The sequence below is a fragment of the Homo sapiens genome, chromosome 10 (genome assembly GCF_000001405.40).
Source record: "Homo sapiens chromosome 10, GRCh38.p14 Primary Assembly".
Lineage (NCBI taxonomy): Eukaryota > Metazoa > Chordata > Mammalia > Primates > Hominidae > Homo > Homo sapiens.
In genome coordinates this window covers 7,174,023-7,198,707 of record NC_000010.11, presented here as the reverse complement: position 1 = coordinate 7,198,707, position 24,685 = coordinate 7,174,023, and the positions used below count along the sequence as shown (strand labels likewise).

Sequence of the window (24,685 nt, the reverse complement as noted above, 5' to 3'; positions counted from 1 at the left end):
CATTGGAGACAGCAAGATCAGCAGCTCTCACTATTCCCTTTCTGAGTTGAAAGAAGAATACAGGTAATGCACACTTAAGCTGCAGTGAGGTCTACTTCACCGTCTTCAGACTGGCAGAGTGGAGAAGTGCAACAGGAACCATTGTTGGGGTAGATGTAGGACTACAGGAGCCCTTCCATGGTGCTAACAAGAGTGTCAATTGGGGTAGTCACTGTGGAGAATGGCGTGGCCATGTCTAGTAAAACTGAAGATACAGATGCGCAGACCTGTGGCCTACCTGGCCCACTCTTCTTACTCACCTGCAAGACTCTGTTGCCCACGTGTAGAAGATTTTCACAATCATATTCATGAAAGCACTGTTGACAGTCCTGAAAAAGTAGAAACAACTAAATATCCAGCAGTAAGAGACTAGACAGCTAAATGATGCTACATTAATTCAATAGAGTCAAAGAAGTAAAAAAATGAATGAACTTTCTAGATCCGCATTTACCAACTTGGATATATCTCAGAAACTTCTTGTTAAGCAAACAAACAATATCTTGCAGGAAATAATTTATGGAATATGTTTAATATATCATATATTGTTTGTAGGCACATGCATGCTTCTGTGTGTGGTGAAGTTGACACACTTGTGTGGCATGATGAACACCAGATTCATACAATCTGGAAAAATGCATCAGAATTTCCAAGGTATCATTAAGGATATAAAATGTCCTGCTATTAGGACACAGCGCCTCTTTCTCAAAAGAAGAAAATCATCTGTTTTTCTCTGCTGCTTTGTCACGATTTGGAACTAGAGTGTGGCCTCCTAATTACAGTTCTAACGACACTGGCTGTCACGGTTATTGTGTTCATTTTGGGTTCCATTGCTTTTATTACGCCTGACTCCCCATCAGCCAAGACCTCGGACAGCTCTGTGTGGTCCTTTTCCCTGACCATGTGGATGAAGCAAGGGTCTAGGGGTCCCCTAGGGTCTGGGGCTGTGGTCCTAAGCATGGACTATGTTGCTGTCCCCTGCAGGAACCGTCAACGGGAAATACTGCTGTCCTCAGCTCTTCATCAACCACAGGTGTTTCTCAGGCCCTTACCTGAACAAAGGAAGGATTGCAGAGCTACCTCAGTCGGTGGGACCGGGCAAATGCGTGCTGGTTCTTAAAGAGGTAAAGCCCGTGCACAATCACCTTGGCTTATTTTAACAGGATTTTTTAAAAAGCTGTGGGCTCAGTTTCTGAAGGAGGGAATAGGCATTGGAAGCAGTTCAGCTGGCATTTACCGAGACCTCCGTTCTCTCCATCCTGTGGGCTGAAGCCAGAGATACACAAATGGAAAAATGATGCTCTGACCCATGAAAGGCTCCCCATCTAGAGGGAGGGACACACATCTGCCTTCCCTCGAATTAGGGGGAAAAGTTGCACTAGATTTGAATGAAGTGCTTTGGGAAGACAGAGGGAAGATTGTGTGTGGAGTGAGGGCCTAGGACTGGAGTTGAGGTTTCCAAAGAGGTAAACCAGCCTGGAATGGCACAGAGGACTTCATGAGGCAGCAGAGGGTGTTAATCACCGAGAATGGCGCTCCTTGGCCGGGTCATGGTGCTGTGCCATCTTTTTGTTTCATCCATCTCTTCCGAGCACCTGGTACCTGCACACGGGAGGTAATGGTAAGTATTTCAATGGTCTCCAGGTACTTTGACGAGGTTTGTGTCATGGGTCACATCCAGGCCCATCACTTGGAGGCTGTGGCTCCCCATTTCTTCTGCTGCCTTCGGGCGACGACCTGCAGAGACAGGTGAATCCTGAGGATGTTGATGAAGGCTTCTTCTCCATTGCATTTTTCTAGCATAGCCTCAGACAGTGCTTGGAGACAGATTGGAAATTTGGAATAGTTTCCAAACTCTTCCCGGAACTCTATCTCTGCTCTTTTCTTACACGTATCCGTACTTTCTCTGAAGAAAGAGGATACCAAATGGATATTCTCTATTGCCACCGTACCATGATGAATGTTTCTTAAAATTCTGCAGGCACAGCAATCCATTGATCCATTGAACAAATGTTTGTCAGGTAACTTTGAGGAGCCAGGCACCATCGGAAGCATTGGATTAAAAAAGAAATAGGCTCTGCCTTCTGCCTGTTGGGGTTTCCTGCTCTTGTTAGGGAGATGATGTAATCCTCAGCTTGATGTACAGTTGGGCGTCCGAGAGAGAGGCAGGAACACAGTGTCCTGGGAGTAGAGTGCAGGACAAATATATGGCAAGTGACATTTCATCTGGCTTAGGCAGAGTGTGTAGGATCCTGATTGCACAGCGTGGGCATGGCCACACAGGTGGGCATTCAAGGTGTGTTTCAGAAAGGAAAGTCAGGTATGGCTGGAGCTTAGGAACTTAGGCTGGAGATAAACCGTGGCATAAAAGGGTGCATTAGATTTTGAGAAGAAAAACAGGAAGCTGGCCTGCCTTGATGCTTCAGTGTGAGGTTGGATGGAGCAAATTGGATGGGGCCTGCTTGTGAAAGGCCTTCTCTGATATTTTAAGTGATTTGGACTTGAATCTATGGATAGGGCACCCTCAGAGGGATGCGAGACTCAAGCTTTCCCTCCACACGAGAGCCTCGGTGTGATTTCAAATATCATTTCACTTGAGGAGAAAGAGGCCATTGAAGGGAAGTCAGAGGGCATTTTCTCTTCCTGGTCATCAGTGGTATTCGTAGTTAAAGACCTTTTTATTTAAAAAAACATCTGCTTGAGAGAGGAAGTAGAGGTTACAGTTTAGAAGAAACCTGTCAGAAATCGATAAGGCTATTGTTGTGGTCATTTATTTGGGAGCATGTAGAATGTTAAGCAGGTGGTCCCTGGCCCACATGAGCGTCCAGTCGATGGGAAAGATGAGTATGTAAATAGAAGGTAGCCACGTGGTCCCAGGTTCCAGGACAGGACCTGGCATGCACACTGTGAGATCACACCGGAGGCATCTGCAATCTGTGGGGACTGCGGAACAGGTGGCCTGCCCCTGGTAGGGAGAGGAGCAGGAACAAGGCTGGGGCATCTGGGGTGCGGGTGATGAAGGAGGGAAGAGGAGAGGATCCTCACAGCACCTGAAATGTGCAGACTGCAAGGGATGGACCCAGAAAGGGCCCTTGTTCGTGTTTAGAGTCTGTTGCAGGCCTGGCCATTGTACCAGGGCCTTCATACACATCTTCATTTAGCAGCAGAATGGAGCTGCCTTCCTTGTAAATAGCTCATTTCTGCATTTGGTCTTGAAATCGAACAGTACGCATCTCACTAAGCCTAAGTGGCAAGTAGATTCCATATATGAGAAATTCACAGCTAAAGAGAAAGGGTGATTGAGTTGGGAGGGCCACACCCTGGGAAGGGCTCCGCAGTGTGGTTAAGCAGCAGGACCGCTAGTTAATGCTAAGTGAATAAATTGGCACAGATTGGAGATCCCTGCAGATACTAAACTCAATCCAAACAGAAATCAAGCCAGGATTACACATAAGAATTTCTGCCACCATCGGAAATAGGACCCTAGAGTGAGAATTGACTTTCTTCCGTCTGCCACAGCTGTCAGTCTGTGAATGGATTTCCACTAGGGCAATGTTGTCTGCCTGTATTTCTGCCTGTTTTTGTTGTGAGTGATAGGATGAGGACACAACAACTGACAAAAATACGGAGAGCTGATGGGCTTCTTCGAAGCTGCCTGCAAGCCTGTTTCACGTGACGTGTTCCGTTGTTGAAATGACACCTTCCCTTATCTGCCAGCTCTGTTAACACACAAGATGACCTTGGCTTCAGCCTGTCTTGAGGGGCTGGCTGTTTTACTTTACTAAATGATTTGTTTAAGTCAGAAGTGGTTATCCCTGATCAATTCTCCGATAAGTGCCAGCGGCCAAATTTAAAGCCGAGTCCAGAGCAGTTTTCTAATGACAAAACTAGTTTTTTGCTGATGTTTGAAAAATGCATGTGGCAGGAAGAAAGAAAAACAAAACAAAACAAAAAAGTAGGTGAGTGCTTCAGTTCTGTGAGTGCAAGAAAAATGTAAGTGCCACCAAGCTAATATTTACGCTAATGCTCCTCTTTCAGTACCAGAGCCTCTGTAGCTTCAAATTTCATTTTAGTTAAAGAGAACGAGGTAATGGAAGTAAAGACAGAGTGCATTGCTTTTCCTGGCCATCGGTGTTATTAGGAACTTGAACACTTTATGTGTAGGAGATGTGCAGTGAGAGCGGTTCACCCTGATCTGTTCTGCCAGAAATAGACGTCTCGGGGTGTGGATGCAGACATGGTCTTTGGCAAGGCTCAGTGCAGGCTGCAGAGTCCAGTTCTGGGTTCTGTCTGAGTGGGCCGCTTTATAAGAGAGGACGAAGTTTCTGGCAAAAGTGGTCTTTAATGCATGGCTCTACTCACTTGATGGGTGTTAGAGTTGAGTGGGGTTTGGCAGGACCACGAGCGTGTCTGGCCTCAATTCGAGGGGGTGCAGCGAGGGGAGGTAGGGGACCTGGGAGAAGCTGGAACCAGAGTCACTCAATGGTCCACTGAGGTCCAGACGTACCCCATAAGCAAACTCAGAACGAAGCAGGCCTTGGCGTGGAGGCACAGGCCCAGCTGGTGACCGCCCCTCACATGCTGGGCCTTTTACAGGATGCCCATGCCCAGTTGCATGGAGGGTGGAGTTGTTAGGCACAGGCAGTGGTGATGCTGTTTATCCTAAGTCACGTGTCCATGCTCAGTAGGGTCATTGTCCATTGGGAGCATCTTTTTCTATCCCAAATCCTTCTACCCCAACCTCTCCCGGAGTACCAGGGTCCCCAAAAGAGAGATAAACCATGATCTATGTCATATCAGGAGATTGCTCGCCTCCTATGACCAAAAGGGTCTTGTCGGCTGTTGCGTTCCTTTGCATTGCACGAGGTGTTCAGGAAATTTTTGCCTTGTAACTTACATACCATCTCATGAATCACCAGGCCTGTAGTCCTCACTTTATAGACAGTGTATCAGGCTAGTGTCTGTGTGTGAAAGAGAAAGCAAACCAGTGAGCCAGCCTGGGCACAAGAGGCCAACGGGGAGCGGAACATCTAATCTATTTACTCCTGTCCGTGGGTCCTGGAGTGACTGTTTCAGCTGCAGACACAGACCCATGATGAAGGTGAGAGCAGACCAGCCAAGCGCTCCTGGCAGAAACGACTCTGAAAACACGCACCTGGGTAGGGCGATGGAGCCTCTGCCTTCACAGGGACTCCACACATCATGGTGGGGGGACATTGTCCTTGGAGAAAATCCCAGGGTGGCTCTCAGAGACTTGGGGAGCCTTGTGGTTTTTCTTAGAATTTATTTGGCTTAAAATATCAGTATGTAAATGTCAGTGACAGTATCTAACTTCTGTTTTTCAGAAAAAAAGAGAAACATGCCTTTCATGTGGGCCATCTGTGGGCACCCCTTTGTGGGTTTTCCGCATGAGCTTCAGGGGTGCTGAGCAGGCAGGGGCTCTCCACTTGTGTTTGCTCGGCAGCAGACCTGGCCTGTCCTGTGTGCTGCTTTTTGGCAGTCCAGGTTCAGGAGCTTAAGAGAGGAACGTTTATAGAAAGGAAATCGATGAGCTGTAACCTTCTATAGAAAGGTAGAAATAGAACGCCTGATTTTCTGCTCTCTTTTTTCTTCTTTTGGTGCTTAAGAGTTCAGAGAAAGCCCCAGGAAGCCTGGCACCCAGGATGCTTTGCAATGAGGCGCTTCTCAGGGCTTGTTTTTTTGCTCCAGTGTAACTCTCCACCCCGTTTGCTGAGATGCTGGTGAGACCAGGGCACTCAGCTGAGGTCCAAAGACTGGGTGTGAAGGCGTAGACCAGCAGAATCAAAGAAGTAGTGCGGCACCCCTGAACCAGAATGCGGTGTGCCCCGGACCCCCGGCCCTGAGTCAGAGACGCCCCACTGCAAATAGTGATGTGACCTCCGACCCCCAAAGGGCTCAGGTGACTCTGGCTCCTGGTCACCTGCAGTTTGGGATCTTTCCAGTGGGACCTGGCGGTTTGGGATTTGGCCTCAGCTGTTATTTACGGTTTCGATTTCTGCCCCTGTGGCTGATGCATTAAGCGATTTCCCTCCGTGTTTTTGTTTGGGGTGTCTGGTTCTCACATCTGGGGAGTCTGTCATGTGCTGTTTGAATTTCCCCTTCATTGTGGAGCTCTGAGCATTTGTCCTGGGCTATCACTCACAACAACATGTACCTAAAAACTAGAAAGCTTTCTGGTCGGAATCCTGAAAGTCGGCTGCCCCAAGCAGCCTTCAGTGTTCATAGACTTGGTGGTAGGAGAAGAGCTTTCATTCTTCGAAGCAGTCGTAAGTTTATCGGTAACACCCAGGGGAGGAGGTGTTGAGGGAGTAGGAATGACGATCTCGTATTGAGGACTTTTCCATGTGATATTGGACAGAGGGAATGTCTTACCCAGCTGACCTCAGCGAAGTCAGTCCTCGGAATCAAAGACAGATGCAGACAGGCCTCTTGAAGATACTGTGCTGTGTTTTTGTTGCTGCTGTTTTCAATTTATGCTGAACATTAGTTAACCCACTAAGAATAATGTGCCAGGCTTACGGGTGGGTGTGAACTTGAACACACTCACATGGTCTGGGGTGCTGAGGGAAGGTTGGCAAAGGAAAAGTGCACATTTTTTTTTTTGCATGTCAGGCTTTTCTTTATTATTTTCTCATAGAGAAGACAAGATAAATTTGATGAACTTTCTTATCATAGCATAGGATAAGATTTTGTAGCAATGAAAAGCAATAGCAAATGATAACTCCTGAGCCTCCATTCATGTAGATTATATGGCATCAAATACTTGGAGTGAATTTATTGTTAATTTTTAGATGAACAGAATAATTTAATTTCAGAGCCCATATTGAAATTATTGAACTAATTCAAAAAATATCTATAGAGCACCTACTCTTGCCAGTTATGGTTGTATCTGCCATGGATACAGCAGCAAACAGAATGAAGTCCCTGATTTCCTGCTGCTTATGTCTTAGTGGGGGTGGATGGTGAACAAATAAGCCAATTACGGAATAATCCTATACTAATAATAAGACAAGTTATCCATGAGAGGCCAGAGAATGAAGGGAGGAATGTGCTGTGTACAGAGGATACTCGCAGAGACCTTTCTGATACGGACTTTGGAGTAAAGACCCGGATGGGGAGGGATGGTCTGGAAGGGTTTCCCCAGGAAGAACAATCCTAAGAGAAGAACAGAGCAGAGGAAAGGCCTGATCTGACCTGTTGAAAGGATCGCCCTGGCGGTTGTTGGGAGGTGAGGCTCTCAGAGCGTGAGGTGGAAGACAGGGAAGCCCCTGCCGGCAGGGTGAGAATAGACCCAGAGCTGCCCAGCGTTTCGGCCATGTGCTCTCACCAGGCATCTGGATAAGACAGTTTCAGGGACATTGTGGACACAGAAAAGCCCCATTGGATTGGGTTCCAGAGAGGACTGAAGAAGAGGAAAAGGCGCTGTTGAGTGTAGACTCTTCTTAAGGATTTTACTGTAAAAGAGCTGAGAAATGAGGTGGGGGAATGTGTTAGTTCGTTTTCACATTGGTGATCAAGACATACCTGAGACTGGGCAATTTATAAAGGAAAAGAGGTTTAAGGGACTCACAGATCCACATGGCTGGGGAGGCCTCACAATCATGGCAGACGGCAAAAGGCACGTCTTACATGGCAGCAGACGAGAGAATGGGAGCCAAGCAAAAAGGGGAACTCCTTATAAAACCATCAGATCTCATGAGACTTATTCACTACCACGAGAACATTATGGGGGAAACCACCCCTACAATTCAATTACCTCCCACAAGGTTCCTCCCACAACACATGGGAATTATGGGAGCTACAATTCAAGGTGAGATTTGGGTGGGGTCACAGCCAAACCATATCAGTGGAGGAAGATGAGACACCTAAGGTCCTATTAGTTTGGGGGCAGGGGCAGGCTCCCTGCTACCCTCTCTGATCAAGCACATAATGAACTGAACTCCAGTGTTTTGCAAAGCACAATAATTCAGTCTAACTGTGGCTAGTCATAGCAGCTGTCCACTTAGTTATTTTCATTAGGTAACTATAATACATGACATTGTCATGTGCACAGAAATTATTCAGCTCACAATTCCAAAGTTTTATAGAGAGCTTGTTGAATTTGGAGACGGATGATGTGGCATCAAGAAAAGCCAAGGGAAAAACATTCAATATCCGATGCTTTTCATAATTTAATTGCTGCCTGCTCCCAGGCTGAATTGAACTCCAGAAGGCATTTTCTTTTCGCAGTCACAAAATGCATCTCGATATGCAGCAAATAACATGCAGCTCTGGGGTTTTCTCAGCGAAACCCAATGAAAAGAATCTGTTGAAATTTTATTGTCTGTTGATAAACACTGTGTGCGTTATTGCAGTCAGTACTAATTAGATTTATTTTTAAACTGAGTTTCTGTAAATTGTACTGACAGTAAACAATAAAATCAGATGATTATTCTAATACAGAAAACACAAACGCAACAAAACTGCCGGTACCGCCTTGTCATGGCTTTTTAGCACCTTGGCAAGCCACATTCTCTTGGTGGGTGGCTTTGAGGCCCTTGGAACATAGCAAGATGTTACCCAGGCAGAGAAAAGGCCGTCGCCGGGCTGACCGCGTAGTGTAAAGTATTTTAAGAGTGAATCCTTAGTTACAACTTGAGAAAGCTTTGTTGTTTTCAAATAAATCAGGGTGCAAACCAAGCTGGTTACGTTCCAGAACACAACAGACCCGTGAAAATTGTGACAAGCAAATTCCATCCACATTCTCCCATCTCCTTCCATTTATTTTGTAATAGTCTCCATTAAAAGATAGTGCGTGTTTAGGCACTAGTGCCAGACTCCCATCTCACTCAGGTGTATCTCTTGCTCTCCCAACGGTATTTTGCTCTGAAATCCAAAATGTGAGCTCCATGCCTGGCGTGCTCCTTCCAACTTCCGCACCCGGACGGCCTGCAGGAGGCATGGGCACTGCGTGCTCCCCCGTCTTGTTCCTGCTACTGTCACTCAGTGGAGCTTCACAGAGGATCATTTCATGAAACTCCACACCATAGGCCTCTGCTTTGCACTCTCACGTTCTGTAAGGTCTTTATCCAAACAGCAGCAGCCCAGGAATGTGCCAGAACTCATCAATGTTAATCATTAATGATGATTTGCTTTTTGAAAGGTGAGCACCTTAGGGGTCTGAGGTCCTTGTCCCTTTCATTAGAGAAACTCATTGAGGTTAACAGGAACATCGTATCTCCCCAGGGTCAGCAGCTGGAACTCTTAGAAATGCCTGCTCTTTCTGAGCCCCATGGTAGACACATGCTTGTTTTCTTGGACTTGGGAGTGAGGGGTGGATGGGGGAAATATGATACTGGATGGCGCTGGATATTCCAGACTCTCTTTTAAAATATTCACATTTCAGAGGGTTGCCCTAGTATTAAATGTCCATGAATTGAGCCTGCAAGAGGAGAGTTTCACACAATTTGTTACCCTCCTTGCAAGCATGTGAAGCCTCTCCAGAAGTGTTGGCATGAGTAGATTGTCTCCGTTTCATTAGTTCCTTATGAAATCTGTAAAAATAGAATGAAATTCTCAGTAGCCTATCCAACTGAAGAGTAATCCTGTTGAAGTACAATAAATTGCTCTTTGGTGAAAATGGTTCAGCTTTTCTGCAACTAGAAGAGTTAATGGGAGTCTGCCACCCCCTCTAGAGAGTGGTTCACACTTTTCTAGCCAGAGAGATTGTATTTTACCACGCTTTTTGTCCATGGATGGTGAAACAACTCAGTGTTAGCCTGGCAAGTGTTCTATCAGACTTAATCACGTTTCTTCACTTCATGTGGGTGTAGTGGCGAGCTGTTCCTAAATGTCAGTGGTGTGGTTTTCAAAGCATCCTTGTGTTAGTAGGAATGAATGCAATTGCAGCTCAGTCTGCTTATTTTTTTCCCCAAAAGGTTCTTAGCATGATAATCAACGCAGCCTACAAGCCTGGAAGGGTATTAAGAGAATTACAGCTGGTAGAAGATCCCCACTGGAATTTCCAGGAAGAGACGCTGAAGGCCAAGTAAGTGTTTTCAATTCTGGAAAGCAAGGGTTTTTGTAATACTTCCCCATGCTACTTTGAACCTTGCCACTTCTCTTTGTGACACAGCCCTGAGAAATGGAACAAACTGAAGGACGTTCGTTCTGCAGTTCTATGGGCGACACGTAAATTTCTTGGCATTTTTGCCATACAGCGTTGCCTTAAGCCTTAGGATTCCTAAGGTGAAGTAGAGATTTCCTTAACTAATATTTTATTATGCTAAACATTCAGCATCATAAAAACTTGGTATGTTTCAGGACCAATAGGTTATTTGAGCAAAAGGGGGAAAATTGTAAAGAGGATATCCCTCATCATTATTATACTATGTTCATAAACAGCTCTTCATTTTTGATATTATATAGACTATGCTAAATGCAAATGCTCTCTTTTCTGGCAGTTGACAGTTCTCAAAGATAAAAGGAACCCGTGCATGTTTGGTCTGGGTTAAGTAAATGGCAGCAAAATCTGGGTTGGCGTGGAGTCAAGTAACTTTCTTTTATTTGGAAATAGGCTAATTGGAAAGGTGACATTTTTGCTTTCTTTAGGTTTCTTGACCTCTGAAATTGAGAGCAGGAGCCGTATCAATGTACTTGAACTTGGTTGTTTAGGCACATAGAAAAAGATCCGTTTCTAAGATAATTTTATGTTGAATAATTGTTTAGAGTGCTTGAGAGGACTTTTAATATTCATCTATGGGTTTCAAATAGAATAGGTTTTACTAGTTGACTTCTTAATGGTCATTGAGATGTAACATTTGAGAAATGATGTTTTTTTAAAAGAGTAAAACAGTTTTCAGTGGCTAGAGGATATCTAAGCCTCCTTTAGAGAAGGCACCTGCCCTATTCATAGTGAAAATTGAGAAATATGAAATAATTTGTATGATCGGTAATATTTTCCTCTATAGTTAACTTATACTAGTACTGTGACTGAAGATGTTTAGAGATTGTGCCACACTCAACATTCATTGCCAGCAATCCACTTAGCATTCCTGGTGTCATTTTTGAACAGCTCTGGGGTTTTAGATTCAGTAAAACTTATTTATGGTCTAATCATAATCTGCCAAATCACCAAAGTGGAAGAGAATATATGTAAATAAGAAGAGGGTTTATTTGCAGAAAATGGCAGGCCAATTAACGATGCTGCTACATTTCATCATTTCCTTCTTTCTCAAGAAATATTTAAGTGAGCTTCACCTATAGCTCAGAGAAAAACATGTTTTTCTAATATTTCATATTTTTCTGCTTTAAAGAGATCATTAGCAGTAGTGGCACATTTTCTTATAAGTTTGTAGTAGTAGTGGGGGCAGAAAACATAAGCAAGTGTTTATAATGGAGAAATCCTTCTTATTTTAAAACTTTTCTGCAAAATTCAATACAGTCCACGTACACCTAATGGACACAGATATAATAAAAGTACAAAAATCTTAGCTCCCATTAAAACCTTCCCTGCCTCTAAATAAGCCAGAAACTCGCTCCCGCTCCACAGTGAGAGGAAGTTCATTTTGCAAGTGTTTGCACTAGTTTTCATGTTACCAAGTCGATCAGAGCTTTTTATTAAATCCAGCCTGATACAATCAAAACAGACATGGTGAAACCCAGCTCTACTGAATTGTAAAGGCAGCATATTACCTATTATATCAAATATGACAAAAAGTTCCATGGCAAACTCTTACACAGCAACTTCTAATGAGAAAATGTCTGTCTGAACTGGGTTTCAACTGTGCGAGATCATAGCAGCGTCTCAAAGCAGCTGCTAATGATGACAGCTTTACAGTCAGCGGGAGCTCTCCTGCTCTGATACTGTGTGTTGAGTCACCTCTTCCCTTCTGATGTGAAATGACAACTTTTTAGATCTTGACAACTTTGCTATTTTCTTTGGTGCAAATGGGAGGAGAGAGAGCTGGCATCTTCCCATTTAGCTGAAAGGAAGGCATGTTTTCTGTCATGAATAAATTAACGTACAAGAGGAGAGACTCACATTCAAGACATTTGGTCCAGGCCAGGCGTGGTGGCTCATGACTGTAATCCCTGCACTTTGGGAAGCTGAAGCAGCAAATCGCTTGAGTCCAGGAATTCAAGACCAGCCTGGACAACATAGTAAGACCCTGTCTCTACAACAAATAAAATATTTTTATATATATATATATGTGTGTGTGTGTGTGTGTGTGTGTGTGTGTGTGTATATATAGTATGTATGTATGTGTATATGTATGTATATATATGTCATATATACATATGACATTCAGTCCTCTTGGTTGATTATGGGAGCTGTTGTACACAATTATAAAGACTGTTTTCAGGAAGAGAGGATGTGAGATTATCCCTAGGGCAGTGTGATTGCTCTCATTTGGCATCTAGGATTTCTGGTTGTTTTTTCCACCTCCTAAGAGTAAAGACCCATTTACTTGAGAGGATGAAGGTGTCTTTGTAGAGGTTTTGACTTGTAAATATAACGAAAACTTACACTGTTACCTACAATTGTCTCTGGGTGATTTTTCCCCTATTTATCCAACAACCGTACCTTTTATAGAAAGAAATTATTGCAATATTTGAACTTGTGAGGAGTCTATCATTATTACCTTCAACATGTATTGAAAAGCAAAAATTTGCTAGCTTTTATGCCAGGGAAAAAAAATGGCTTCTCATGTAGTTCATTTCTGTTCTGGAAGAGAAAATTTCTTTCTTGCCAATGAATTTAAATATGCTCAATTTACCTGCATTGTTTTGAATTACAGGAGGAGGAATTAGGCTATATCTTAGAGGGGTAAGGAAAAAAAAAGCCCTCCACCTCTCTGCATCTAGAGACATTTAAATATGTTTTTCAGCATGTTACAGAATCTTCTTGAGGGAAAATAAAAAGACTGTCTTAACTCTTCTTTGAATGGCTTTTGTGATCATCTTTATAAAAGCCAGGCAGAAGCTTAATAATTCTTCTAGTCCTGTGTTATAGTTATTCAGAATATTTAAAGAGGAAATATCCTGGTAGGATTTCACGTGAGTTAGAGCTCACTGTCACTTATCAGAGGGAAGGAGATAAAGTCAGATCTTCACTGTTAGGTGCGTCATGCTCAGCTCTGTGGAAATGTTGTGGTTTCTTTTTTTTCATAAGCAGTGGTTAATTTTGTGTGTGCTTTTACTTATTTGACTTTAATTTTTGTCCTTTTACGCAAGCATTTGTCTTATGAACTGTCGCAGGTAACATTTGGCTATAAAGTGATTTATGTAAAAAAAGGATTCCCTAACTGAGAGACTTCACCGGAAAAGGTTTTGTTTGTTCATTTGTTAATTTTGTTTACCTTGCGCAAGTGTATGTAGTTTGCTGTCCTGAAAACGCACGAGGTGAACTTCGCGTTAAGCAAAGCCATGAACCAGTCTATTTGAAGGGAAGACTGCATTTCTGTGTATGTGTGTACCTAAATTCACTGGATCACGGTGTGGCGTGTCTGATTCAAACAGGCCAGCTTAAGACATTCTGGAGGAGCAGTAGTCTCCTTGGGATAAACATACATGCCCATGTGTTGCAGAGTTCCCATTACTTAAAGGCAAGAAGGAAGAAAGAAATTTCTGAGGAGTTTGGGTGTCCTAAGGCTGAAAACCAGTGACCCATTCTCCCGACCCTGAAGTCCAGTGACCAAGAATGAGACCAATGAAGTGAAAGCTTTGTTCTGAAGGAAGCGAGAACCGTACCTCACTATTGCTGATGAGAACAGAGGCTTTCCCACAGCTTGTAAAGCTTCCCTATTTCTGCAGGGTTCTCAGAGTCACCATTTCCTTCCTCTTTTAATTCTTCCTCCAGCATTTGAGGGTGTGAGTTCAGCTTGAAGAACCAGAACCTCGTCCTCCGCTCCCACACCCCTATCCCTGCCTGACGAGATTTGTTAAAAGGTCTCATAAGGGTGATTCTGAGGGTGAATGATGGAACTTAGACCATAGTGACATTCTGCTTGGGCCGTGCCGGTGGTTATAAACGGATTGTTACACCAGTGTTGGCTTTTTCACTCTGTTTTTGTTTTTGACTCAAAATCCATTTAGATTCTTCTCAACTTTTAACTACCGTATTAGTCCATTTTCATGCCGCTGATAAAGACATACCTGCAACTGGGTAATTTATAAGGAAAAAAAGGTTAAATGGACTCACAGTTCCACGTGGCTGGGGAGGCCTCATAATCACAGCGGAAGGTGAAAGGCACATCTCACATGGTGGCAGACAAGAGAAGAGAATGAGAATCAAGCAAAAGGGGTTTCCCCTTATGAAACCATCAGATCTTGTGAGACTTATTCACTACCACAGGAAAAGTATGGGGGAAACTGCCCCATGATTCAGTTACCTCCCACTGGGTCCCTCCCACAACACTTGAGAATTATGGGAGCTACAATTCAAGATGAGATTTGGGTGGGGACACAGCCAAAACATACCAGCTATTGAAGGAGAGGAGATGATTTTTTTGGCATTTTATCATCCCATATTCCTCTCTCTGTCTCCACCCTGCTCTATGCACTTGGACGTGGAAAGAAATCCCTACTTTGGCTAATGGGAAGGAAGTGGAAGGCCACACATATATTGATATCAGTGAGGAAAAACTTTGCCTCCACTCCTTTAGGTTCAGAGACTGGGAGCCTGAAGGTTAAACTGACCAAAGACAGGTGAGTGAGAGAAGAAACAGCCCACTTACATGTGTAACCCTCATACCGAGGGAGTGCTCAGTGATGAATAACTCAGAGGGTGGGTCAGTCGTTTGGGGATTCTGTATCCAACTCAGTACGGGAAAGGGAGCTGGGAGCAAAGGCTTTCGTCAGAAGAACAAATAGATTGCTTTGGGAAAGACAAATTGGATTTGAGGAAAGCAAGTGAGAAGTAAGAAAGTTTGTGCTAATGTTTGTTTATGCAGGTCTGAGTGGTCTTTCTCTCTTCTTCATGGCCAGGCTGGGAAACGTCCCCAGAGAGGAGATTTATGGCAGCTTTACTCTTACGTCTCTCTCCTGGGAGGAGAAGCTGCCCCCAAAGAGGGAATTTATGGCAGTCTCCATTTCTCTAAAGTTTCTATTTTACAGCAGATAATGGGAGCTCCAACAAGACTTCTTGCTGTATCTGTCGAATCTCAACTATCTTGAGCTTAAAATAATCTTCTGTGGACTCTGGGGTTCTCAGTGTCCTGCGCTGACAACCAGCAAGAGCATCTCCTGTGTTTTCCACTGTTGATCTGTGACTTCCTTTACTGTCTCAAAGTGTGCTTCCGAGAGCACTGCCAGCCCCAGCCCCTCCTGATGTGCTCAGCTTGTAGGATGAGATTGCGTTCTTCCCTCCAGATTTCTCTGCAACCTGAGTGATGCAGAGGTGCTGGGATGGCAAGGTCTATCTGAGGACTGAGATGAAAGCTCTCCTTCCTGGACCTCTCCCTTACAACTTTCTCCTCCGTCACCTTTTTTGTCTTTGCTATTCCTTAGTTCCAACTCAGTAATCTTTTGCTTGTTGCTTCTATTTTCCTTCTTTCTGAGATTATTTATATTGCCAGAGAGTTTTCTATTGTGTGCGAGCTCAGCTGTCTCTTAATATTTTCCTCTTACTTTGTCTTCTTGGGACTTGAAATATTGCTTCAAAAACTTAGTGTTTATGAGAGCCTTGCCGGGCCGTGTATTAAATAACATCGGCGTCTCACCCTTTGGTCTCACAGTGTCAGTAGAAAGTGAAAAGCATTATCTCATGCTTTTTGGTGGTTCTTTTTTTTTAACTTTTTTTTTTATTATACTTTAAGTTCTAGGGTACATGTGCACAATGTGCAGGTTAGTTACATATGTATACATGTGCCATGTTGGTGTGCTGCACCCATTAACTCATCATTTAACATTAGGTATATCTCCTAATGCTATCCCTCCCCCCTCCCCCACCCCACAACAGGCCCCAGTGTGTGATGTTCCCCTACCTGTGTCCATGTGTTCTCATTGTTCAATTCCCACCTATGAGTGAGAACATGAGGTGTTTGGTTTTTTGTCCTTGCCATAGTTTGCTGAGAATGATGGTTTCCAGCTTCATCCATGTCCCTACCAAGGACATGAACTCATCATTTTTTATGGCTGCATAGTAGTCCATGGTGTATATGTGCCACATTTTCTTAATCCAGTCTATCATTGTTGGACATTTGGGTTGTTCTTTTCACACATCCTCCCTACAAAGTTATGTCATTGGTATGCTGTTTGTAAGTCTTTCTTGGAAGGTAAAAATACAAAACACACTCTTCTTTTCACTTTTGGTAAAATAAAGAGTAGAATGAGGCTGAGTGCGTTGGCCTGTGCCTGTAATACCAACACTCTGGGAGGCTGAGGCGGGAGGATCACCTGAGGTCAGAAGTTTGAGACCAGCCTGGCCAACATGGTGAAACACCATCTCTACTAAAAATACAAAAATTAGCCGGGCATGGTAGTGGGTGCCTGTAGTCCCAGCTACTCTGGAGGCTGAGGCAGGAGAATCGCTTGAACCTGGGAGATGGAGGTTGCAGTGAGCCAAGATGGTGCCAGTGCACTCCAGCCTGGGTGAGAGCCTGTCTCAAAAAAAAAGGAAAGAAAGAACAGGTCATCCCCCTACCCAGCCATCCCCAGGTCTGTCACGTGGAGCTCAAACCCCTGTCCACTGTGCCTGGGAAGATCATGTAAGGATCAAGTGATCAAATGCTGTAAGATCCTTGAGAATATGTCAGTAGCTTCATTACATAAATGCAGATTTACTGTTAATTCCCAGCCAGTTGGTAAACTCTTAGAGCTGTCTTTTGCCTCTCCTTTTTTTTTAATAGGGCTGTATCTTCGTATGTTCAGCATGCCTTTGAAAGAGTTGTTCCAACAGTTACCCTAATTTGTAGGCCAACTCCAAAACAAGCCTGTTTATTGGTTCAGGTTGGAGTTGGATTTCACAATCAATTTATCCTTAATGTATTGATAGCATCTGGATGTGTCCATGTGTACTCAACCAATAGTGCTCAGAAATGCTCATGTGATGGAAAGTCTGCTGTAGAGTCAGCTTGGTATAGTTTGAGTCATTATATGACTACATGCCTTTATATTATTTCTAAGTGCTTTTGAAACAATCTCATACTTACAGAAATATTGGAGGTACAGAATAAAGATACTATTCATTCTCCTGATTGATTTGGGATAAGTTGAAGGCCTGATGCCCCGTCACCCCCAAATACATGTTGAATATCCTTTATTCCAATTGCTTGGGACCAGAAGTGTTTTGGATTTCATCTTTTTTCAGCTTTTGGAATACTTGCAGTATACTTATATTATGTTGACACTCAAAAATTTCAGAATTTGGAGTATTTTGAATTTCAGATTTTCTGATTAGGGATGTACCTGTACTTTTTTTTTTTTTTTTTTGAAATGGAGTCTCACTTTGTCACCCAGGCTGGAATGCAGTGGCACAATCTCGGCTAACTGCAACCCCCGCCTCCTGGGTTCCAGCGATTCTCCTGCCTCAGCCTCCTGAGTAGCTGAGACTACAGGCGTGCACCACCATGCCCAGCTGTTTTTTGTATTTTTAGGAGAGATGGGGTTTCACCATGTTGGCCAGGATGGTCCCAATCTCTTGACCTCGTGATCTGCCTGTAAGCAGGCTTTTCTAACGGGAGTGGCTCAGGCCTGCTGTGTTCACCCTTTTCTGTGCGCTTGTGGTGGAACGTAGGCTCCAATTCCAGTCCAGCATGCCAGGGTTCATCCTAGCCTTTTCCTTCCCTATACTTGCAACTCCGGCTGTGACAGTGGAAGCCTGGCCTGTGCTCTCCACCTTTGGAGTATGTATTTATTTCGTCAGGCCCCAGCGTCTCTCCAGTATCCTCACCCTCCCAACAGCTGTCCCCACATGCGACGGCCTCCCCCCTGCGTCCCTCCCGCACTTCCATCCTTTTCCCTGGTGGGTTCCTCCCAGATGGGTTTCATCAAGGAGGGCCCTTGGGACCAATGCCTTTGGAAGGGAGGGGAAGGCAGTGGGATTGAGAAGACAGAGATCATCCCACAGTGAGGCCAGGCAGGCACCCGCAGCAGCTCTGGGGTTAAAGGCTCTTCATGGCTGTCCGGAGTTGGGCCCCAGTGACCTTTTTACCTCCTCCACAGTCAGTCCCTGGATGGGGCCCTTCTGGGAAGGGCAGGGCCAAGGCAGCTTTTTGCAAAACCCTAAAGGGGGCTGGGCACAGTGACTCACGCCTGTAATCCCAGCACTTTGGGAGGCCAAGGCGGGCAGATCACTTGAGGTCAGGAGTTCAAGACCAGCCTGGCCAACATAGCAAAACCCCATCTCTACTAAAAATACAAAAAAAAAAAAAAATTACCACTATAGGCGTGGTGGTGGGCACCTGTATTCCCAGTGACTCAGGAGGCTGAGGCATGAGAATCGCTAGAACCCAGGATGCAGAGGTTGCAGTGAGCTGAGCTCTTGCACCATTGCACTCTGGCCTGGATGACTAAGTGAGACCCTGTCTCAAAAAAAGCAAAAAAAAGCAAACCTAAATAAAAGGGCCACAACTGAAGGCTTTCTCCCAGCAGGTGGGGCAACAAGCCCCCCAGTGAAGGGGTCCAGGCAGCACGCCATCCGCCAGCTTCCCCAGCCCGTGCCCTATCCTTACTCAGTCCCCTCTACCCCTCACTGCCATGGCTTCTAAACAGAATTGTTCAGGAAGGGCAGGGAAGAGAAAAGGAGCCCGCTGTTTTTAAATGATGCTATAACTTAAATCTTCATACCTTTAGATGGGCTTTTCCCTATTGTGAAAGTTTTTACTGAAACACTTGTTTCCGTGAAATCATCCCAAACTAGGAAGAGAAAATTAAGCCAGCCTGGTTCTGTTTCCCCCAGATAACCGCTCCCTTCATCCGTCGCTCCGATGTGGCAGCGCGTGTGTGTGCTTCGTCACCTGGAGGTTTGATGAGCAGTCTCATCTTTGAGCCTTGTTCTGCAGTTTGTCCTCTGACCTGGCTTGCACATTTCTCCTGCGTTCTTATGTCTCATTATTTTATTTTTCTAGGGACTCTAAGAATCTCGATAGTGAGCTCTTTCCAACAAAGTTGTGGGGCCACCAAACTCGTAGTGGATAAAACTGCAAGGGAAAATGTAGCCGTGAAGCACTTTTATTCTACATTTCCCATTTTTACTCTCCATTTCCCACAACACGAGGAACATACGGTGTTCCCAGTTGTGCTGTTTCTTTTGTTTTTTTTTTTTTTTTTTTTTTTTTCGAAAATGCAACAAAAGCAATAAGCAAGAACCGCCCCAACGTGGGTCCTGGAGTCCCTCTTCAAAGGCACGGAGAGGGAAGTCTCTACACATAGGGTCAATGGAGGGCCTAGAAAAACCAACAGCCATTCAAGGCTGTAGGATTTAAAGCATGATCTTATCTACAGAAGATTACTTTCTAGTTCTCACTACATGGAAAGTCAAGCTCGACCCATCAGAGAAACTGAAGAAAAACAAACACCCAGGGGCTGGGATATGAAAGACCCTGAATAAATATGAAGTAAATTTAGTAGAGTATGCAGATAAAAAGTACAAGTTGGAATTTAATCCTTAATTTTTTTTGCCGTTGATACTTTAAAAAAAAAAGATTTATTAGTGGAAAAGTATTTTTCCAGTCTTTAGAAAGACATTCCTAAAAAGCTGGAATTTCATATTTCAGTAGTTTGGTGATATGTGAACGAAATAAAAACCTATGATCTGTTGCCAGTTGAGAAGCTGACCATTACTTTGTCCCCATGATAGGGTTAAAAATCTGTCAAAAGGTGATTGAAACCTACAAGTGCTTGTGTTTTCAGCCAGGCATTATGTATATCATATTCCCATAAATATTTGGATAAGGGCTGTAGTGCCTAATTTTAAAACAAGAACCCATCGAATCTGCTTTTTGTAGCTCTGGTTGCCAGTTTTACACTGGTGAATTCATTACCTGCGGTTTTTCTTGGGGCAGGAGAAAGTTTTTTTCTTAAAAGTGATGAGCAACAAGTGACAATATCTAGGTTCCAGAAGCATGTCTCACTCTAAATTCTTTGTTGTGTGGGTGGGTGTGGGGAGGGATGCGAGGAGCTTAATTTTTATTCTTCACTAAATAGTTACGTTTAAGGAAAGCAGTATTGCACTTGATATTTATATATGATGGCAAGACAGTGCCATCTCTTCAAGCAATGTTTGTTGACGTTTTTGGATTCCCATATATAAAATCAGTTCCTTGTGGATAACTATAAAAGGCGTTTGGATTTCCAGAACTCTCGTTTTCCTAGTGCGTTGAAAAGGTTTTGGGGAAAACTTCCATACCCTTCATCTAGATTGGTGTTTCCTCTAAGATCAGAGACAAGTGCTTAAGGAGGACCTCAGAGAAACCTTAGAAGATGTGAACCGAGAAGGAAAGGTACAAGCAGGCAGCAGCCATGGTCAGGAGAAGCTGCTGTGTGGGTGGTGGGGAGGTGCAGGCAGGCAGTCCGGGGGTCCCCATTCTTGTCACCCCCCACCACCGGAGGAATGAGCCTTGTCTCAGTCAGCCCAGGCTGTGCAGCAAAGAGCCACAGGCCACATGGCTTTTGCAACGATGTTTATTCTCTCAGTGCTCTGGAGGCCTAAAGTCCAAGATGAAGGTGCCAGGGTTGGTTTCTCCTTAAGCTTCTCTTTTTGGCTTGTGGATGGCCACCTTCTCCCTCTGCCCTCACATGGTCTAGTCTCTGTGCATGTACACCCCTGGTGGCTTTTCAACTTCTTCTTCTTCTTCTTCTTTTTTTTTTTAAGAGACAGAGCCCCACTGTGTCGCCCAGGCTGGAGTACAGTGGTACAATCATAGCTTATTGCAGCCTTGACCGCCTGTGCTCAAGGAATCCTCCTGCCTCAGCCTTCTCAGCCTCCCCAGTAGTGCCCCACCGTGCCCATAGTTTTTAAATTTTTTGTAGAGATGGGGGTCTCGCTATGCTGCTCAGTCTGGTCTTAAACCTCTGGGCTCTAGCAGTCCTCCTGCCTCGGCCTCCCAAAGAGCTGAGATGACAAGGATGAACCTCCACACTCAAACTTTTCATCTTCTTACAAGGCCGCCACTCCTATGGGATTAGGTCCCCACCCTTATAACCTCGTTTAATTTAATTACCTCATTGAAAGCCCCATCTTCAATTACAGTCCTATCGGGGGTTATGGCTTCAACCTATGAATTTAGGAGGGACATGGTTCAATCCATATAATAAGAATGAAGGTCTCCTATGTGAGGCCCCTCAGTTAGATTTACCGCTTTTTGCGGGGGGCGGGGGGAGATTTAACTGGAGAAATGCCTTTTATTTTTTCCTAATACACAAATAGACTGTAGCTTTCCAAAGACCTCAGTCTAATAAGAAATAGAGATGCATATGAAGTACTGTTGATTCCAGCGTGCATTCTCCTTGCAGTATGATTTCATCCACTATCTATCACTCAATCAAGATTTGAGTCTGTGGGGAATTGCGGTGAAGGTGTGCATGTTCAGAAAGGATTCGATTTACTGCTTCGGAGAAAGCAACCGAAGCCATGGAGGGGGTTGCTGGGGGGACTGGAGAGCAGGTGGAAGCAAGTTTTAGTTCCTGGAGCAATCTTTCACCATCCCAACCTAGAGGAGAGGAGTGGCCAGTTACCCTCATGGGCAGAGTATGGCAAGCGGCATTACCATTTCACGTTGCTCCCTTTACACTTGAGAGATACAGCAGCCTTTTCCTTTAACTGCCACTCATCCACCGGAGACCCCTTACGATTCTGTTTACACTGAAGCCACTTGCTGCCAGTGTCTGCAAGGCTGGGGGTCTTCACTCGGTTTCCAGGTCCCAATCATACAGTCACTCTGCATTTTTAATGGTAGCTTTTTTCTTTCTTTTTTTCCCCTTATAAAATCCATTGTGTTTCTGTCCATTTAAATGTGACCTTGCTTACCTATCACCATTCTGCACAGATGCCATTTATGAATAATGGAAATCGTCCCCATTTCAACAATATGATACACAGTCTTGACAAAGATATCCTTTCAGTGTTCTGAATTTGCATGGTTTTCAAGGCAGAATCCTGATCCCATATGCACTCACATTTTTCAAAAATGAAATATGATAGCAACAGGAAAATACCCATTCGATTTCACTAACCTCATTTCGAGAGCCATGCCCATCAGGTATGTATCCCGCACCGCTCATCTTTGGTATGAAGTTGTATATAGCAAAATGAAGGTGTGCTACATGTGGGGGTGTTTATGGAAGTGGATTCTGGTTTAGCACTGTTACGACACATTTGTTGCACACTAGTGAGCACTTCTTATAAATATCTCTGTGAGAAATAACAGAAGCAACATGGGAAACTGCACGCGATATGCTTTGTCATTGGAAAATGAAGTTGCTGCCTTCGGAATGTGTGGTACAGAATAGGCCTGAATCATAATCTGGTCTTGCCCTCGCTTTTCTTCCCCACCTATTTTCTAGATACAGAGGCAAAACATACAGGGCTGTGGTCAAAATCGTACGGACATCTGACCAAGTCGCAAATTTCTGCCGCCGAGTCTGTGCCAAGCTAGAGTGCTGTCCAAATTTGTTTAGTCCTGTGCTGATATCTGAAAACTGCCCAGAGAACTGCTCCATTCATACCAAAACCAAATACAGTAAGTACAAATAATGAAAAAAGAAATGCATGAGCCCAGAGACCTAAACTGCACTCTAAGGTATTTGGTTTTTGTTTCATTTGCTTTTTTCTTTTTGAACCTTTTGACTAGTCTTCCATAGGAATTGCTATGGAAGGATTTTTAAGGATTTGCTGTAGCAGATACATGTGTTTTTAGCCTGACATACGGAGGGGATGGGATGATTTAAAACAGGATGAATTTTCATTGGTAGGCCTTGGAAAAGAAGAAGAGGAACTGTGTGTACTGTCATGAGTTTCAGTGGATTGATTGATTCTACAGCTCAATGGATGGCAGGAGAGCACAGTAAAATTGATCACAGTAACAGTAACCCAGATGACTCTTTCAGTCCTTACTCTGGGATAGTGTAATGATGCTTTCATTGCCCTTCTTGATACGGGGGCCACATCCTTGTCATAATCGGCTTCTCATGTTTAGACGCCTTCCTCAGCACCCTCACTGAAGAGAGCCATGGAGGACTCAGAAGCCACCATCACTTTCTTTTCTGCCAGTTGGCTTTGCCTCTCTCCCAGGACACAGGGTGCAGGACTCAGAGCTGTCCCCACTCTCCTACCTTCAGCTCTTGCCTCTTCCATCCCCAGTCCCATTCGAGGATGTCTGGCCTTGGGCAACCGCTTCCCCTGAGCCCTGCCCTTCTTTCTTTCTGATGACCTTCTCCATCCATAGTAGCCACTCCCAGACACCTCCACCTCCTGTGCCTGAGTCCTGTTCTCTCCCTCTGACCCACAGTTCTGAGTTTCCTGCGTCTCCCCTCAGTTCTCTCTAATGCAAGGGGGAGTGACCTGGAAGTTAGCTCTGCCAGCCACGTTCCAGCCAGCTGGGATGTGACAAGGGCTTGGCCATGTGGCCAGTGCTCTGTGAGCCACAGTCACTTGTGACGTTTGTCAACATGGGTGCTGGAACCAGGAATCTGAATGTACTGGAAACGCTGTGCAGAGTGTGACTTTCTTTGTATTTTATTATCTCTCAGTGTGTTTCTACACACACACAACACACACACACACACAGAGTCCCCTTGCCACTCTGCCTTCTGATGGAGGCCAGCTGTGCCCTCACTGATCACACAGACCTCCCCTCATTCTGTGCACAGGGCCTCTCAGGTAGGGCCCGCAGGTGTGTTGGCCCAGCAGGTCACCTGGTTCCGGAAGAGCTTGTTTCTCCATCACTGCACCTTTTTCCAGGGGAGGGCTTCACTGGGAAACAGCAGCTCCTGAGTAAGAAAGGCCTAACCGAGGGCTCGCCTTTGCCGTGTACGGTGAATGCTTACCTGCCAGGTGGGCTTCTGTGTTCTTCCAGGACACTGGGAATGGCAGGGAAGGAGCAGGGTCCCACACCTCCCATTCAGCATTGCCGAAATGAACTCAGAGATGTCTCCGGATCTCATATAATAAAACTCTTAAGTCCCAAGATCCTTTGGGTTAATTTATAATGAATGTTACTAAAGGCTGAACAGAGGCTCCAGTGGGAGGAGGACAGAATGATATTTTGGGGGAGTCAAACACTGGAAAAGCAGGGGTCACCCAGTCTCGTTCTAAGGCTCCAAACACATACTGGCCTTTGGCTGCATTCCCTAAAACCAGTTCTCATCCCCAGCCACTGGCTTCTAAGAAGCCAGCCTGCCCTGGCCCTGTCATGCACGCTTGGGGTTTGGGAGGGGACAGAGGCTTGCTCATTTGCCCCGTACCTGGAGATGGCCACAGAGCAATGCTCGCCCACGGCAGTTTATTCCTGCTCACTGAGTAACACGGTCCTTATAGAACTGGACACGGGACATTGTTCCAAGCTCTCCTGCCAGCTGCTCCTTTTGAGAGATTGATGAGAACAGGCCGGGGCTCCCGGAGCAGGTGTGCCTCCTGGGAGTTACAGGGCTGCTGCTGTGCGGCTTCCCGACAGTTTTTCCAAATGCCATGCTGTGATCAAACGCAGGG

General features: G+C 44.8%; 1 protein-coding gene and 1 non-coding gene across 13 annotated transcripts in view; both read left to right on the top strand.

Moving 5' to 3' along the window:
• SFMBT2 (Scm like with four mbt domains 2) overlaps window positions 1–24,685 on the top strand; it is a 252,867-nt gene that overhangs the window by 212,783 nt on the left and 15,399 nt on the right. For all 12 annotated transcript variants that reach the window (NM_001029880.3, NM_001387890.1, NM_001387889.1 and 9 more), the window contains 3 exons: window positions 1,021–1,160; window positions 9,975–10,084; window positions 22,543–22,718. In NM_001029880.3, the coding sequence (NP_001025051.1) occupies window positions 1,021–1,160; window positions 9,975–10,084; window positions 22,543–22,718 (426 nt within the window). The remainder of the gene's footprint in view (window positions 1–1,020; window positions 1,161–9,974; window positions 10,085–22,542; window positions 22,719–24,685) is intronic.
• On the top strand, window positions 11,924–12,028 carry SNORD129 (small nucleolar RNA, C/D box 129). The gene has a single exon (NR_132972.1). It is a non-coding gene; the product is annotated as a small nucleolar RNA, C/D box 129 (small nucleolar RNA).